This window comes from Homo sapiens, chromosome X, assembly GCF_000001405.40.
Source record: "Homo sapiens chromosome X, GRCh38.p14 Primary Assembly".
Taxonomy (NCBI): Eukaryota; Metazoa; Chordata; class Mammalia; order Primates; family Hominidae; genus Homo; species Homo sapiens.
Window position 1 is genome coordinate 71,971,315 of NC_000023.11, and position 15,095 is coordinate 71,986,409.

Genomic DNA, 15,095 nt, shown 5'->3' on the forward strand with positions numbered 1-15,095 from the left:
GCTATTGTTATTATATGTATTATGTCCATGTGTGTTACAAATCTAACAACACTTGGTTACAGTTATTACTTTATGTAATCTTATGTCTTTTAAAGAAGCTAATAGAAGAAAAGAGAGCATGGATATATTTATAGAGTTTAAAAAATACTAACCTTCTTAATTACCATTGCTGGTTCTCTTCATTTGTTCCTGTGGATTTGAGTTACCATCTAGTGTCATTTCCTTATTCCAGTGCAGCTCTGTTCCCAACAACCTCCTTTACCCTATTGTTGTCAAATATATTATATTTTTATATATTTTATGGAAAACAATGCAATTTTATAGATATTGTTTATGAAATTGCTTTCTAAATTATTTAAGAAAATAGGAAAAATATGTAATTATTCTTATATCATTACCTACATAACTACCTTTACTGGAGCTCTTTGGTTATTTGTGCGAATTTAAATTGCTGTCTCAGCCAGGTGTAGTGGCATGCACCTGTAGTCCCAGCTGCTTTGGATACTGAGGCAGGAGGATGGTTTTAGCCCAGGAGTTTGAGGCTGCATTGAGCTATGATTATCCCACTGCATTCCATCCTGGGCAACAGAGCGAGCCCCCATCTCTTAAAAAAATTGCTATCTAATGTCACTCCCTTTTAGCCTGAGAAACTTCCTTTAGTGTTTTCTGTAAGTGACAATGGATTCACTTAGTATTTGTTTCTATGGGAATGTCTTTATTTTACTTTTTTTTTTTTCTGAGATGGAGTTTCACTCTTGTTTCCAGGCTGGAGTGCAATGGTATGATCTCGGCTTACTGCAACCTCCACCTCCCAGGTTCAAGCGATTTTCTTGCCTCAGCCTCCCAAGTAGCTGGGATTACAGGTGCGTGCCACCATGCCTGGCTAATTTTTGTATTTTTAGTAGAGACGGGGTTTCACCATGTTGGCCAGGCTGGTCTCAAACTCCTGACCTCAGGTGATCTGCCCTCCTTGGCCTCCCAAAGTGCTGGGATTAAAGGCATGAGCCACCGCGCCCGGCCTATTTTGCTTTCATTTTTAAATGATAGTTATGCTGGGCTTAAGGGTTGACAGTTTGTCTGTTTGTTTGTTTACTTTCTGCATTTTGAATATGTCATCTCAATACCTTCTGCTCTCCGCTGTTTCTGTTGAGAAGTTAGCTGTTAATCTTATTGAGGTTTCCTTGTACATGATGGATAAGTTAAGTGTTTCCTCCTGCTTTCAAAATTTTCTCTTTGTCTTTCAATACTTCATTATTTCAGCAACTGTGATACATCTGGGCGTGGATCTCTTTGTCTTTATCCTGCTAGAAGTTCATTGAGCTTATTAGATGTGCATATTAATGTTTTTAATCAAATTTGAGTTGTTTGAAGCCAGTATTTCATTAAATATTTTGTCTGTCCCTATCTCTGTCATCTCTCCTTCTGGTACTACCACTATGTATGTAATATGTTGGTGCACTTAATGCTGTCTTACACTTCTCTGAGGCTCTGTTCATTTTGTTGTTGTTGTTGTTCTTCAGACTGAAAAATCTCTATTGCCTATCTTTATTGTTGTGTGTGTGTGTGTGTGTGTGTGTGTGTGTGTGTTTGGCTTGGAGACTGCTTTCACAGGTCAAGAAGTTTACAATTTTGCTCCATGTTCAACAAGAACTATTACTTTAGTTTTCTCTCCAGTCATTCCTGAGAGGGCCTAGTCTTAGGCATATGTACAGTCTTTCAGACCTCCAAGGATGAGTGTGATTTAATTTTAAGCCTGGCTGCCTAGGAGTGGGCCCTGGTTTAGGGTAGCTTATTGTTCAGTCAGTGATTTGTCACAGGTTGTGAGCCAGTAAGGCTGTCCTTTGTTGCTTGAATTGTGTGTGGCTTGAGGAATGTTTTGCAGTCTGTCCCACGTCCTGCCTTGATTGCTCCTGAAGTAGGTGCAGCCTAGTGCATGTGCACAGCCTTCCAAGTCCATAGGGATGAGTATGATCCCATGAGGTGTCTTCTTAGCTGTTTCTTTCCATGGTTTTCTCTGGCAACCTTCTGGCTGGTCTGCCATTTTTCTTGTTGCTACTAGTTTCATGAAGCTACCAGCCGTCTTAACTGCTTGCCGTGAAGATCTCCATTGTTTTCGACAGTGCCCTCAGGCATGAACTTCTCCATGCTCTGTTCTAAATAACGAGCCCCCTTAGGACAGAACTGTGGAGCTCTCCATCCTTAAGGCTTGCCTTCAGGGTCTGCCTCTAAGCCACTGCCCTGGAGCTGGGGGTGGGGAGAGTTCCTGGTTCTCCTGGAGTGACACCCCTTACTCTAAGAGTGGGTACTGGGGAGGTGGGGAGGGGATAGGAGTCCCTGATCTTCTCAGCTTGCCTCTCCCAGTATGGAGCTTGCATCCTATTAGCCAGCTGTGGTAGGATGATTGAGGCCTAGCATTCTTGGCCCGTTGTGCCTGGGGTAAAGATTCTGCCCTACAAGCTGGGACTGGGTGGGAGAAGGAAGCCCAGTCCTCTTGGCCACTTTCACCCAGAATAGAACTTCTGCAATACTGAGCTGGGAGAGATGAGACATGCTCCTGGAGTGAAGCTGAAACCCGTAGACTTGGAGCTGGGGAAATAGAGAACCTTGCTTTCTTGGCCACACCCATCCAGAACAGCGCTTCTGTAACATGGAGCTGGTGAGGGGCAGAACTGGAGCAGGTCATGGCTCAGATGTCACAGACTGTATCTGTTCTTACCAATATTTAGTAGATTTTCTTGAATAAATGTTTCTCCACTTACTGTGTGCTCTGAGGAAAATTTCCAGAGACTTTAAATGGTTATTTAAAAAACTTTCACCAGCGAAATGATTGTTTCACTGAGGAAAAGCATCTACTTCCAACACAGCCATTCTGTAAGTCCTGTCCCCTTACTGAAAATTGTGACAGTGGAAAAAAATTTTTTGGTGTGGGCTTCTCTGTATATCATCTCTACTAGAACTCAATTAAGCCCAAACTCAAGATTTTATTCAGGAGGAAAGAAAGCATATAGAACAGTGAAATGGTGTTACAATGTGAGGCTTACTTTAAAAAAAATAAAGAGTTTCAGACTTATCACATAAATGTTGACGTTTTGCAAAGTAGCTATTCTCCAGAATAAGGCATTAATCAGAAGGGGAAACAGTAGTAATTATGTGTAAAACATTCTGATCCCTGGAGCAGCAGAAATAATCTCATCCCTGGGAACCCTTGTGGGTTAAGTAGGGCCTTCTCTGCTGTTGCTCCAGCTATGGTTTTGATATTTCTTTCTAATTTTTTATAGAGAAAAACTATCATCAGTAAATATTGGCAAGAGCACGCAAAATAGCCCCTCATCTGGTCTCTAGAAACATACAGGCTGGGTCCACAAATGCAGAAAAGCAGATTGTGACATTGCTGTGACTTTGAACTGCTTTAGTGATCCCTTCCATGCTGACTGTTGGCAAAAGCTCGTTTTCCTTCTCTCTGCCTTGCTTTCTCCCTCCCTGAACAATAGCAAGGCTGTGGAACTCCTACCTTAATGGAAAGTGTGATAGCGCTGTGCCACTGGGACAGATACCTCCTTTGGATTTGATACCCTCTCCTCAATTGTATCTCTTCTTAGCCTGCTCATCCCCACCATTTTATCAATGGAATAGTCAATTTTAAAGAAGTATGGGACTCCAAAGAGAAGATTCAGCCATGGCAGCTGTCACTTCTCTTCCCCCTTGTTCAGCCTGTTTGTGTCTTGTTTGTGGACATCCACTGCTCCTTAGTGCCTAAAGCTGGCAACCTCATATGCTGGCCGCAGGACTACTGGGCTGGAGAGGCAGATACCAACCCATCTGTGCCCTGGCGACACTCCGCTATTTGCCTTTGCAAGAGAAGTTCACACCGAGGAGTGACTGCTGGAGACAATTACCACCACAGTGGTGACCTGGCCTTTCAGTTTCTTACCCTGAACTCCTCTGATTTACTCTCTCCATCATTCATACACCCATTTTTATCAAGATATCACTCTTTAAATCTCTGTTGGGAGCACAACCTCTCTCCTCCCACAGCTTCCCAGCACACCTGCAGTATGGTCTCTTGGCTTTTGCCCAAACATTTGTATTTTAGACACTGCTTCTCCACACCCCACACTTGTCTCTCCGTCTCTCTCTTCCTTTCCCCTCTCTCCCCATCAGTAAATGCTTTCAATTGCTTCTCTAAAGAGCCTATACCCCGTGATACCCTCCTTTCCTTGACCTTAGACCCTTCTTATTATGACAATTATTATCTCCAGGCCCATTCCCTGCCCCTTCCCCTGGCTGTTTTCTCTCCTCCTCCTGTTGGCTCTGAGCTTGCTTTCTTTATAGTGATGGTACTTTTTTTCTCTCCCAAACTAGCTCCTTCCTCATCACCATTCCTCCCAGCATCCTGGTTTGCAGCAGTCAGGTGAAAGAGAGAAGCAGGTCCCGGAGGGTCTTGGGGCATGTCCCTCTCTGTCTCAGGGAGAAAGCTGCTGCTGGCCCTACCACTAGTATCCTGTGAGAATAACAGCCCAGTGCTGCCAGAACCTATAGGTCTTCAAGAGAAGATAGAAACTCCAGATTTTAATGTAAACTGTCTCACTTTTAAATGTTGAAAACTATTCTTTTTTTCCCCAAGAACCTGGGGAAAGTAGCAAAACCCCCCACATCTCTGGGCTAGATTTAACTCCCCTATCTCCCACATTAACTCAGTTGCCCAGTTCTGGAAAGCTGCCTGCTAAGGACATATCCTCCATTTCACTGGCCCACTGTGGTCCCTGCCTTTAAGCCTTGTCACCTGGATGACTATAATGGCCACCTAACTGGTCTCTCTGCTTCATGCCCCTCCCCGCCCAGTCTACTGTATACAACATAATTGCCTCAAAATAACAGAGTCTTGTGGTGAAGGGCTTGTACTCTGGGATCTGGCTGTGTAGATTTAGTCCCAGCTGCCATTTATAAGCTAGGTAATCTTGGGCAAGTTAGTTCACCTTTCTGAATCTCTGTTTCCTTACCTGCAAAATAGGAAAAATAGTTATACCTCCTCATAGGCCTGTTGTGAGGACTTAGTAAGCCTGTTGTGAGGACTTAGTAAAGAACCATGCCTAAGCTGGAATAAGTACTCAATAAATGTTAAACAAAATTGTGTCATCCCCTGTTGCAAAGACCTCCAAAGGCTCCAATGCCTCTTAAATACAGTTTAGCCCCTTTGTCTAGACATTCAAGACCCTCTTGATCTGGCTTCAGCCACACTAGGCTCCTGTCTTATTAATTTTTTTCTCCCCTGCAGTGCTATATGTTCTCACTACCTCTACACTTTCATCCCCCGCAGTAACCTGTGAGGCAGCTGCTATGATTATCCTCATTTCACAGATGAGCAAACTGAGGCTAAGTGTCCTGCCCAAGGCCTCCCGACCTGGAAGTGGAGGAAGCAGGATTTGACTCCAGATCTGTCTGACTAAAGCCTGTTGTCTTTCCACTAGACCGTAGAGAGGGAAAAACACACAGTGACAGGAAGACATGAGAGAGACTTGCGATTCACTTCTCCCTAGGGAAAACCACAGAGCATTGTTTTTTCTCCATGAGAAACCAATCTGAAAGAGTGGTGTAACCATGTGAGAATGATACGGGGTGGGTTGGGGCCAGGATATGCTGATGCTTGTGAAAACTGCTGAAGTCAGCACAAGGGACTTTTAAAACTAGATTTAGAACAAGTTGCAAAGCAAGAAAGGATTGGCCAGCTGCTTTGGGGCCAACAGGGTAATATTACTTTTTGGCTCCTTTTGTAACAGGTGTGGTTAAGCTCTCCCTTAAAGGCTTTGGCAAGATGAGGTTAGCATAGCAGTTAGGTGCCCCAGATGGAGAAACAGAATTCTCAGGTTCAAATCTCCATTTTGCCACTTAAATCTGTGTAACCTTGGAAATGTTATGTCTCGTTTTCTCATCTGTAAAGTGGCAGATAATAATAACACCTACCTCACAGGGTTGTTGTGATGATTAAATAAAATAGTACATGAAAGCTCTCAGAACATTGCCTCACACACAGTAAGTTATTTTATAAACAGTAGCTAGTATTTGTCCTTCATGAATATATGTGCTCAAACTTGGTGGCAGTCTCTCTCTCTCTTTTTTTTTTTTTTTTGACAGCGCCTCACTTTGTCATTCAGGCTGGAGTGCAGTGGCACAATCTTGACTTACTGCAGTCTCAACCTCCTGGGCTCAAGTGATCCTCCCACCTCAGCCCCCCAGTAGCTGGGACTACAGGTGTGTGCCACCATGCCCAGCTAATTTTTTGTAGAGACAGGCTTTCGTCATGTTGCTTAGCCTGGTCTCAAATTCCCGAGCTCAAGCGATCCACCCTCCTCGGCCTCCCAGAGTGCGAGGATTACAGGCATGAGCCACCGCGCCTGTCTGGTCTCTCTTCTTTCTTGACCTATTCCAAAAACCAAGACCATGGCCGCACCTTCTATTTGTAGACATTTAGAAACTTTCCAAAGTGCTCCAGACACCTCATTAGGAGGATGGTGGAAAGTTTCTGAAATCTTAAACAACTTTCTAGAAGGAGGTGACCATACTCTTTTATCCCACCTCCCTTATTACATACTGCTTGCATTTGTACAGCCCACTAGTATAAGTGCACAGACTCTGGAGAGGGGTGGCCTGGGTTCAGATTCCATCCTTGCTACTTACTCTCTGTGTGGCCATGGGAAGTTACCTAACCTCCCTTGACCTCAATTGTCTCATGTGTAAAAAAAAGAGATAAGAATAACAACTCTATCATGGGGTTGTTATGAGGATTAAACAAATTAATTCATCTAAAGTGCTTAGCGCAGTACCTACCACATAAGAAGCCTTAATCAAAGTAGCTGTTCTCATTACTATTAGAAAATAAACTAAGAAATCATTAGGCATCCCTTAAACTTCTCTTTTAGGTTTTCCTTTACTAGCTAGTTCTCACATCACCTTACATTCTCAGCCCCTGATTAGAGCACTCGCCTTTATAAGGGAATCTTGGACTGCCGTCATATCCCTCCCTTGGACCTGCCAACCCCTGCCCTTGGGTGGTGCTTTATACCCAACTGCAGCCATAAGGCTCTCATTTGGTGCCAGGACTCTGCACAGAACAGCTTCTGAGGTAATCCTCCATAGACTGTCAAGCCCAAAAAGCCACTCGCTATAGGTCCTTAACCTCATTCTGCATAGGACTAGAAGAAAGATGTTTCCCAGCCAGACACACTTTATTCAGTCATGGAGGAGTTGAATGGCACCCCTGCATCAGATCAGAAGCTGCTGGCACATTCAGTACTGCTATTCAGGCTACTGCTTATATTTCTGTTAGGCTGGCCCTGGCCCTGGCATCATTTAGCCTATCTTGGGCTCACATCTTTTTTTTTTTTTTTTGAGATGAAATCTCCTATATCTGTTGCCTCTCATTTTACTACAGAAACTTGTCAAGGTTTTTTTTTTTTTTTTTAATTATACTGTAAGTTTTAGGGTACATGTGCACAACGTGCAGGTTTGTTACACATGTATACATGTGCCATGTTGGTGTGCTGCACCCATTAGCTCGTCACTTACATTAGGTATATCTCCTAATGCTATCCCTCCACCCTCCCCCCACCCCACAACAGTCCCCAGTGTGTGATGTTTCCCTTCCTGTGTCCAAGTGTTCTCATTGTTCAGTTCCCACCTATGAGTGAGAACATGCGGTGTTTGGTTTTTTGTCCTTGCGATAGTTTGCTGAGAATGATGGTTTCCAGCTTCATCCATGTCCCTACAAAGGACATCAACTCGTCCTTTTTATGGCTGCATAGTATTCCATGGTGTATATGTGCCACATTTTCTTAATCCAGTCGATCATTGATGGACATTTGAGTTGGTTCCAAGTCTTTGCTATTGTGAATAGTGCCACAGTAAACATACGTGTGCATGTGTGTTTATAGCAGCATGATTTATAATCCTTTGGGTATATACCCAGTAATGGGATGGCTGGGTCAAATGGTATTTCTAGTTCTAGATCCTTGAGGAATCACCACACTGTCTTCCACAATGGTTGAACTAGTTTACAGTCCCACCAACAGTGTAAAAGTGTTCCTATTTCTCCACGTCCTCTCCAGCACCTGTTGTCTCCTGACTTTTTAATGATCGCCATTCTAACTGGTGTGAGATGGTATCTCATTGTGGTTTTGATTTGCATTTCTCTGATGGCCAGTGATGATGAGCATTTTTTCACATGTCTGTTGGCTGCATAAATGTCTTCTTTTGAGAAGTGTCTGTTCATATCCTTCACCCACTTTTTGATGGGGTTGTTTGTTTTTTTCTTGTAAATTTGTTTAAGTTCTTTGTAGATTCTGGATATTAGCCCTTTGTCAGATAAGTAGATTGCAAAAATTTTTTCCCATTCTGTAGGTTGCCTGTTCACTCTGATGGTATTTTCTTTTGCTGTGCAGAAGCTCTTTAGTTTAATTAGATCCCATTTGTCAATTTTGGCTTTTGTTGCCATTGCTTTTGGTGTTTTAGACATGAAGTCCTTGCCCATGCCTATGTCCTGAATGGTATTGCCTAGGTTTTCTTCTAGGGTTTTTATGGTTTTAGGTCTAACATTTAAGTCTTTAATCCATCTTGAATTAATTTTTGTATAAGGTGTAAGGAAAGGATCCAGTTTCAGCTTTCTACATATGGCTATCCAGTTTTCCCAGCACCATTTATTAAATAGGGAATCCTTTCCCCATTTCTTGTATTTGTCAGGTTTGTCAAAGATCAGATGGTTGTAGATGTGTGGAATTATTTCTGAGGGCTCTGTTCTGTTCCATTGGTCTATATCTCTGTTTTGGTACCAGTACCATGCTGTTTTGGTTACTGTAGCCTTGTAGTATAGTTTGAAGTCAGGTAGTGTGATGCCTCCAGCTTTGTTCTTTTGGCTTAGGATTGACTTGGCAATGCAGGCTCTTTTTTGGTTCCATATGAGCTCTAAAGTAGTTTTTTCCAATTCTGTGAAGAAAGTCATTGGTAGCTTGATGGGGATGGCATTGAATCTGTAAATTACCTTGGGCAGTATGGCCATTTTCACGATATTGATTCTTCCTAACCATGAACATGGAATGTTCTTCCATTTGTTTGTGTCCTCTTTTATTTTGTTGTTGGGCTCACATCTTGCCCAACATCAGCTGTTGTCAACAACACCTGTGCTCATCTAATCATTTAGCTCAGGTGTCTCAAGCACTTTTTACATGCCAAACAGTGTGTGTGTGTGTGTGTGGGGTGTGTGGGGTGTGTGTGTGTGTGTGTGTGTGTGTGTGTGTGTGTGTAGTGTGTGTACATATGTGCATAAGGATAAGTTGAAAGAGTCAATGAACAGAATGAAGCCTACTTGCAATCCAGTGCAGCACTGTGAGTCTGGGCTTTGGAGACAGATGGGCCTGATGCAAATCCTAGCTCTGCTTCTTGTCAGTTGGGCAATGTGGGACAAGTTAATCTGTCTTACTTTGATCAGCTATAAAAGGAGGATAGTAGAAAGATATACCGTGAAGAGTTACTGCAAAAATAAGAGGTAGCATATGTGAGTGCCTGATAGAGACCTAATCAATGATTTTTGTAATTATTATTTTCCCTAGACCCAATTCTCAACTAGGGTGTTGCCCCTTGAAATTAAAAAGGAGAATCTACATGCAAAAATGAATAATTTGGACTCCTAACCTTATATCATGTACAAAAGTTAGCTCAAAGTGGATCAACGACATAACTGTAAGAGCTCAAGCTGTAAAACCGTTAGAAGACAGTGTAGTTGTATATCTTTGTAACCTTGAATCAGGCAATGGTTTCTTAGATATAACACCAAAGGCACAAAAGACAAAAGAAAAACTAGGTAAATTGAACTTTATGAAAAGTAAAAAACTTTGTGCTTCAGAGGTTACCAAGAAAGGGAAAAGACAGCCCAAAGAATGGACAAAAGTTTTGTAAATCTTATGGCCAGGTACAGTGGCTCACGCCAGTAATCCCAGCACTTTGGGCCAAGGCGGGTGGATCACTTGAGGTCAGGAGTTCAAGACCAACATGGCAAACATGGCGAAACCCCATCTCTTTTTAAAATACGAAAATTAGCTGAGTGTGTTGGCACACACCTGTAGTCCCAGCTACTCAGGAGGCTGAGGCACAAGAATTGTTTGAACCCAGGTTGCAGTGAGCAGAGATCGTGCCACTGCACTCCAACCTGGGCAACAGAGCAAGACTCTGTCTCAAAAAAAAAAAAAAAAAAGAAGGTTTGCAAATCATATATCTAGTAAAGAACTTGTATCCAGAATATATAAAGAACTCTTAAAACTCAACAATAAAAAGACAAACAACTCAATTTAAAAATGAACAAAGATCTGAATAGACAGTTCTCCAAAGAAGATATACAAATGGCCAACAAGTACATGAAAAGATGTTCAACATCATTATCCATGAGGGAAATTTAAATCAAACCACATGAGATCCCACTTCCCACCCAATAGATTTGTTGTAATCAAACATACAAATAATAAGTGTTGACAAGGATGTGGAGTGACTGGAAATCTCAAATACCACTGGTAGGAACATAAAATGGTGCAGCCTCTATGGAAAACAGTACAGCAGTTACACAAAAGGTTAAACATATGACCCAGGTTACCGTATGACCCAGTAATTCCACTCTTAGGTACATACTCAAGAGAAATAAAAGCATATGTCCCCATAAAAAAAAGCTTGTACATAAATGTTCATAGGAGCATTATTTGTAATAGCCAAAAGATGGAAACAACCCAAATGTCCTTCAATGTGTGAGTGGATAAACAGTTGTGGTATATTCATATGATGGAACCAGTCATAAAAATGAATGAAGTACTGATATATGCTACAACATGGATGAACCTTGAAAACACTAGGCTAAGCAAAAGAAGCCAGACACAAAGCCCATATACTGTATGATTCCATTTCTATAAAATGCCCAGATTAGGCAAATCCATAAAGACAGAAAATAGACTAGTTGTTGCCAGGGGCTGGAGTGGGGAGGATAATAGAGAGCTAATAAGTTAGGGTTTCTTTTGGGGGGTGTGATGTTATGAAATATATATTTGGTCTTTGTCTCCATTTCCTGGCATACAACTCCGAAAATCCTTGGAGTCTCCAAAGTGATGTCTTTTTGTATGCCTATGAGTTGACTGATGGTTGGGTAGCCCAAGAATAGGGACTGGTCACTGGAAAGACCAAGGCATGAATAGAGGGTTGGGACTTTCAGCCCAACCTCCAGGGACGGGAGAGGGGCTGAAGGTGAAGTTGATCACCAATGGCCAATCATTTAAACAATCATGCTTACATAATGAAGCCTCCACAAAAACTCAAAAGAACAGGGTCCAGTGAGCTTCTGGATAGCTGAACACGTGAAGATTCATGGAGGGTGGCCTACCCAAGTAGAACATGGAAGTTCTGTGCCCCTTCCCACATACCTTCCTTGCTTGATGCATCTCTTCATCTGTATCATTTTTTATGTCCTTTATTATAGACCAGTAAATGTCAGTAAGTGCTTCCCTGAGTTCTGTGAGCTGCTTTAGCAAATTAATAGAAGAAAAGAGGGGGTAATGGGAACTCCAATTTGAAGCTGGTTGTCCAGAAGTTCCAGAGGCTAGAACTTGCAACTGGTGTGTGAAGAAGGGGGGACGCAGTCTTGGGGACTGAGCCTTCAACCTGTGGGATATGATGCTATCTTCAGGTAGATAGTATCAGAATTGAACTGGAAGACATCTGTGTCTACTGTAGAATTGATTGCTTATTTGGCGAATGGGGAGAGAAAATCCCACACATTTGGTTACAGAATTTTCTGTGTTGATTGTTGTTGTGGTGTGAGAACAGAGGAAAAACAGTTTGTTTTTCCACTATCACCGGGAAATGATCTAAAATTCACTATGATGATGGGTATACAACTCTGTGAATATACTAAAAAGCCATTGAATTGTCTGCTTTAATTGATTGAATTATATGCTACGCGAATTATATCTCAGTATAAATTTTGCTTGGTGCTATGTCTCACGCTGGTAATCCCAGCACTTTGGGAGGCCGAAGTGGGAGGATTGCTTGAGCCCAGGACTTCAAGACCAGCCTGGGCAACATAGTGAGACCCCACCTCTACAAAAAAAAAAAAAATTAAAATTAGCCAAGCCTGGTGGCACACACCTGAAGTTCCAGCTACTCTGGAGGCTGAGGTGTGGAGATTACTCTAGCCCAGGAGCTTGAGGGTGCAGTGAGCCATGATCACGCCACTGTTCTGTAGCCTAGGCAACAGAGTGAGACCCTGTCTCTAAAAAAAAAATAAAACTGTTAAAGGAAAAAAAAGGAATGAGAAAGGAACTACCCAGAGCCACCACAGTGGACTTGAAAAAGTTATGGTTATTTCTTGATGATAAGCTTAACAAGGGGTGGATTATTCATGCCTCCCCTTTTTAGACCTTATAGGGTAACTTCCTGATGTTGCCATGGCATTTGTAAACTGTCATGGTGCTGGTGGGAATGTAGCAGTGAGGATGACCGGAGGTCACTCTCATCGCCATCTTGGTTTTGGTGGGTTTTAGCCAGCTTCTTTACTACAGCCTGTTTTATCAGCAAGGGCTTTATGACCTGTATCTTGTGCCGACCCCCTATCTCATGCTGTGACTAAGAAGGCCTAACTTACTGGGACCGCAGCCCAGCAGGTCTCATCCTTATTTTACCCAGCCCCTATTCAAGATGGAGTTGCTGTGGTTCAAACACCTCTGACATTTCCCCCCTCACTTTTATAAGAGAACCCTTAATCCTAAGGGTTGCAGAGGGACAAAGATCCATCTTCTAATGAATAGCGGTGATGATATTCCTGTCTAACTATTAGATCTCTTGCAATCAGGGTAGAGAGGAGCTCAGTCAGAAAGCATTGGTATGTCATGGGCCATTCACAATTCTGAGTTCTGACAAAAGGTGATATCTTGAAGATTAATAAGTATTCAATGTAAGAAAACATTCGGTAAGCTTATCCTGCATTCCTACACAAAGAGTACAACAGCAATATATTCCACAATAGTAAAGCAAAATAAGTAAAATTGTCCCTAGTAAACTAAATTAGAAAGCTTTCCATGAACTAGGCATTTGTTGGAACCAAGCTAATATGGGGTTGCTAGCCAATTTCAATATGTGCCCAGAATTGGAATACTGATCCAGATTTTTACATTACCCATCCCTCTTGTTTCTTCTGAGAAGCAGTCAGAGATCACTGGATGATTCACAGGAATAAGCAGAGTCAGTATAAATTGCAGAAAAATACTTAAAAACAACTAATGAGACTAAAAGCTAATAACAGGTATACCACAATTCTTGAAACATAATTTTTTCTCTCTCCAGTCTCCCATTTTTACTAAAGGTAAATCATGGTAAGACTGATTTGCTTTATTATACCTGGTTGGACTGTTTGTATAAAGTGCAGCAAGAATAATTATTTTTCACATAAGCCCTTTTTAAATTGGCTTTAATGGAGCTCTATTTCTTTCCTTTTTTTTTTTTTTTGAGATGGAGTCTTGCTCTGTCGCCCAGGCTGGAGTGCAGTGGCACGATCTCGGCTCACTGCAAGCTCTGCCTCCCGGGTTCATGCCATCCTCCTGCCTCAGCCTCCTGAGTAGCTGGGACTACAGGCACCTGCCACCATGCCCGGCTAAGTTTTTGTATTTTTAGTAGAGATGGGGTTTCACTGTGTTAGCCAGGATGGTGTCGATCTCCTGACCTCGTGGTCCGCCCACCTTGGCCTCCCAAAGTGCTGGGATTACAGGCATGAGCCACCGTGCCCGGCTGATGGAGCTCTGTTTCATAGATGGAATCTCAGATCTTTTTAAAGCCGAGCCCAGCCATGGATTTGTGCCCTCAAATACCCATAAGTTGAGTAAATCCCTCTCCCCTTGAGGTCCCAAGATAACTTGGGGCTCCTGGGCCTGTCAGAAGGTGACATTCTTTAAACTTACCACAGGTCAGGAACCTTGTACAGGAACTGTGTAGACAAGGTATGAGGCCAGTTTCCCAAGGGGCTTTTATTGGCTCTATAAGTCAAGTTTGATTCCTTAAAGGAAAGCACACCATTCCATTCAAAGCCTTGGTAAAATAACCAGTTTCTCAAATTGTGTCCTGTTGCAAAAGAAAACAGATTCTTATTGCACTTATGCAAATAACTATTGCTATAAGTTAAGAACACTCACAACTAGTTTCCAAATTCTGGAGAAATCAGGTAGAGAGAAACAAATATGCTCCAAGTTTTATTCCCAGGAATATACTTTACTCAATTGTTAAAAGCTGTAAATAGCTTAAAAGAAAAGTTTCTTTGACTCTGAAAAACAAAACAAAAGGATCCGCAATGCTTTAAGCTAAGTTAAAAAAGATTGCTTCAGTCTTCTATTAGGTCAGTCCATTCAGTCAACTCCTGTTCTGCTTTATATTCATGAACATTTCAGCTTTCCATGAGTCTTGAAAGTTTTTCCTCTATTCTAATGTCATAATCTCCAAAGTTATTAGAAACCTGCATTCAAGAACACCTGTTAGAGTCCTGTAGCTGATTATAAACCACCTTTTAAAGAGGATCAAAACAAGACAACAATTGCCTGTGGATGACAAAATGTCTTAGGGCAGCCACAGCCAAAAACATGATTGACAAAGAAATTTGGTTACCTCTACGGCACACAATGATTTTATGTAATAATTATAATTATTACTGATAATATATGCTAAGTTATATTAGGATTATAAGAGTTTCCCATAATTTTGAACACATACCAATAACATATTTCTAGAAATACAGCCCAAAAAAGCCAAACACCATCTTATATTTGAGAATGTTTCCTGTATGACTTTTATACCAAATAAGCCAAATGTCACTTTTGGACTTTAGGCAACCTAATATCTAAAAGATTAATTAGGTCAGAAAAAGTCATAGTTTATAATTTCACTTTGGAAAGCTTATCAAATATTAAAGGCTTAAGTCACTTGATATTATAAAAAGAATCCCAGGTCACCGTAAGTCACTCATTTAACCAAAATGATAAATATTTTAAAAAGGCAAAACCCCATACTCACTAAGAGAGGAGAGAATC

The 15,095-nt window shown here is 41.7% G+C and overlaps 1 protein-coding gene across 8 annotated transcripts in view; it reads left to right on the plus strand.

Moving 5' to 3' along the window:
• Window positions 1–15,095, plus strand: part of NHSL2 (NHS like 2) — a 242,442-nt gene that overhangs the window by 60,470 nt on the left and 166,877 nt on the right. The gene's annotated exons all lie outside the window — the stretch shown is intronic.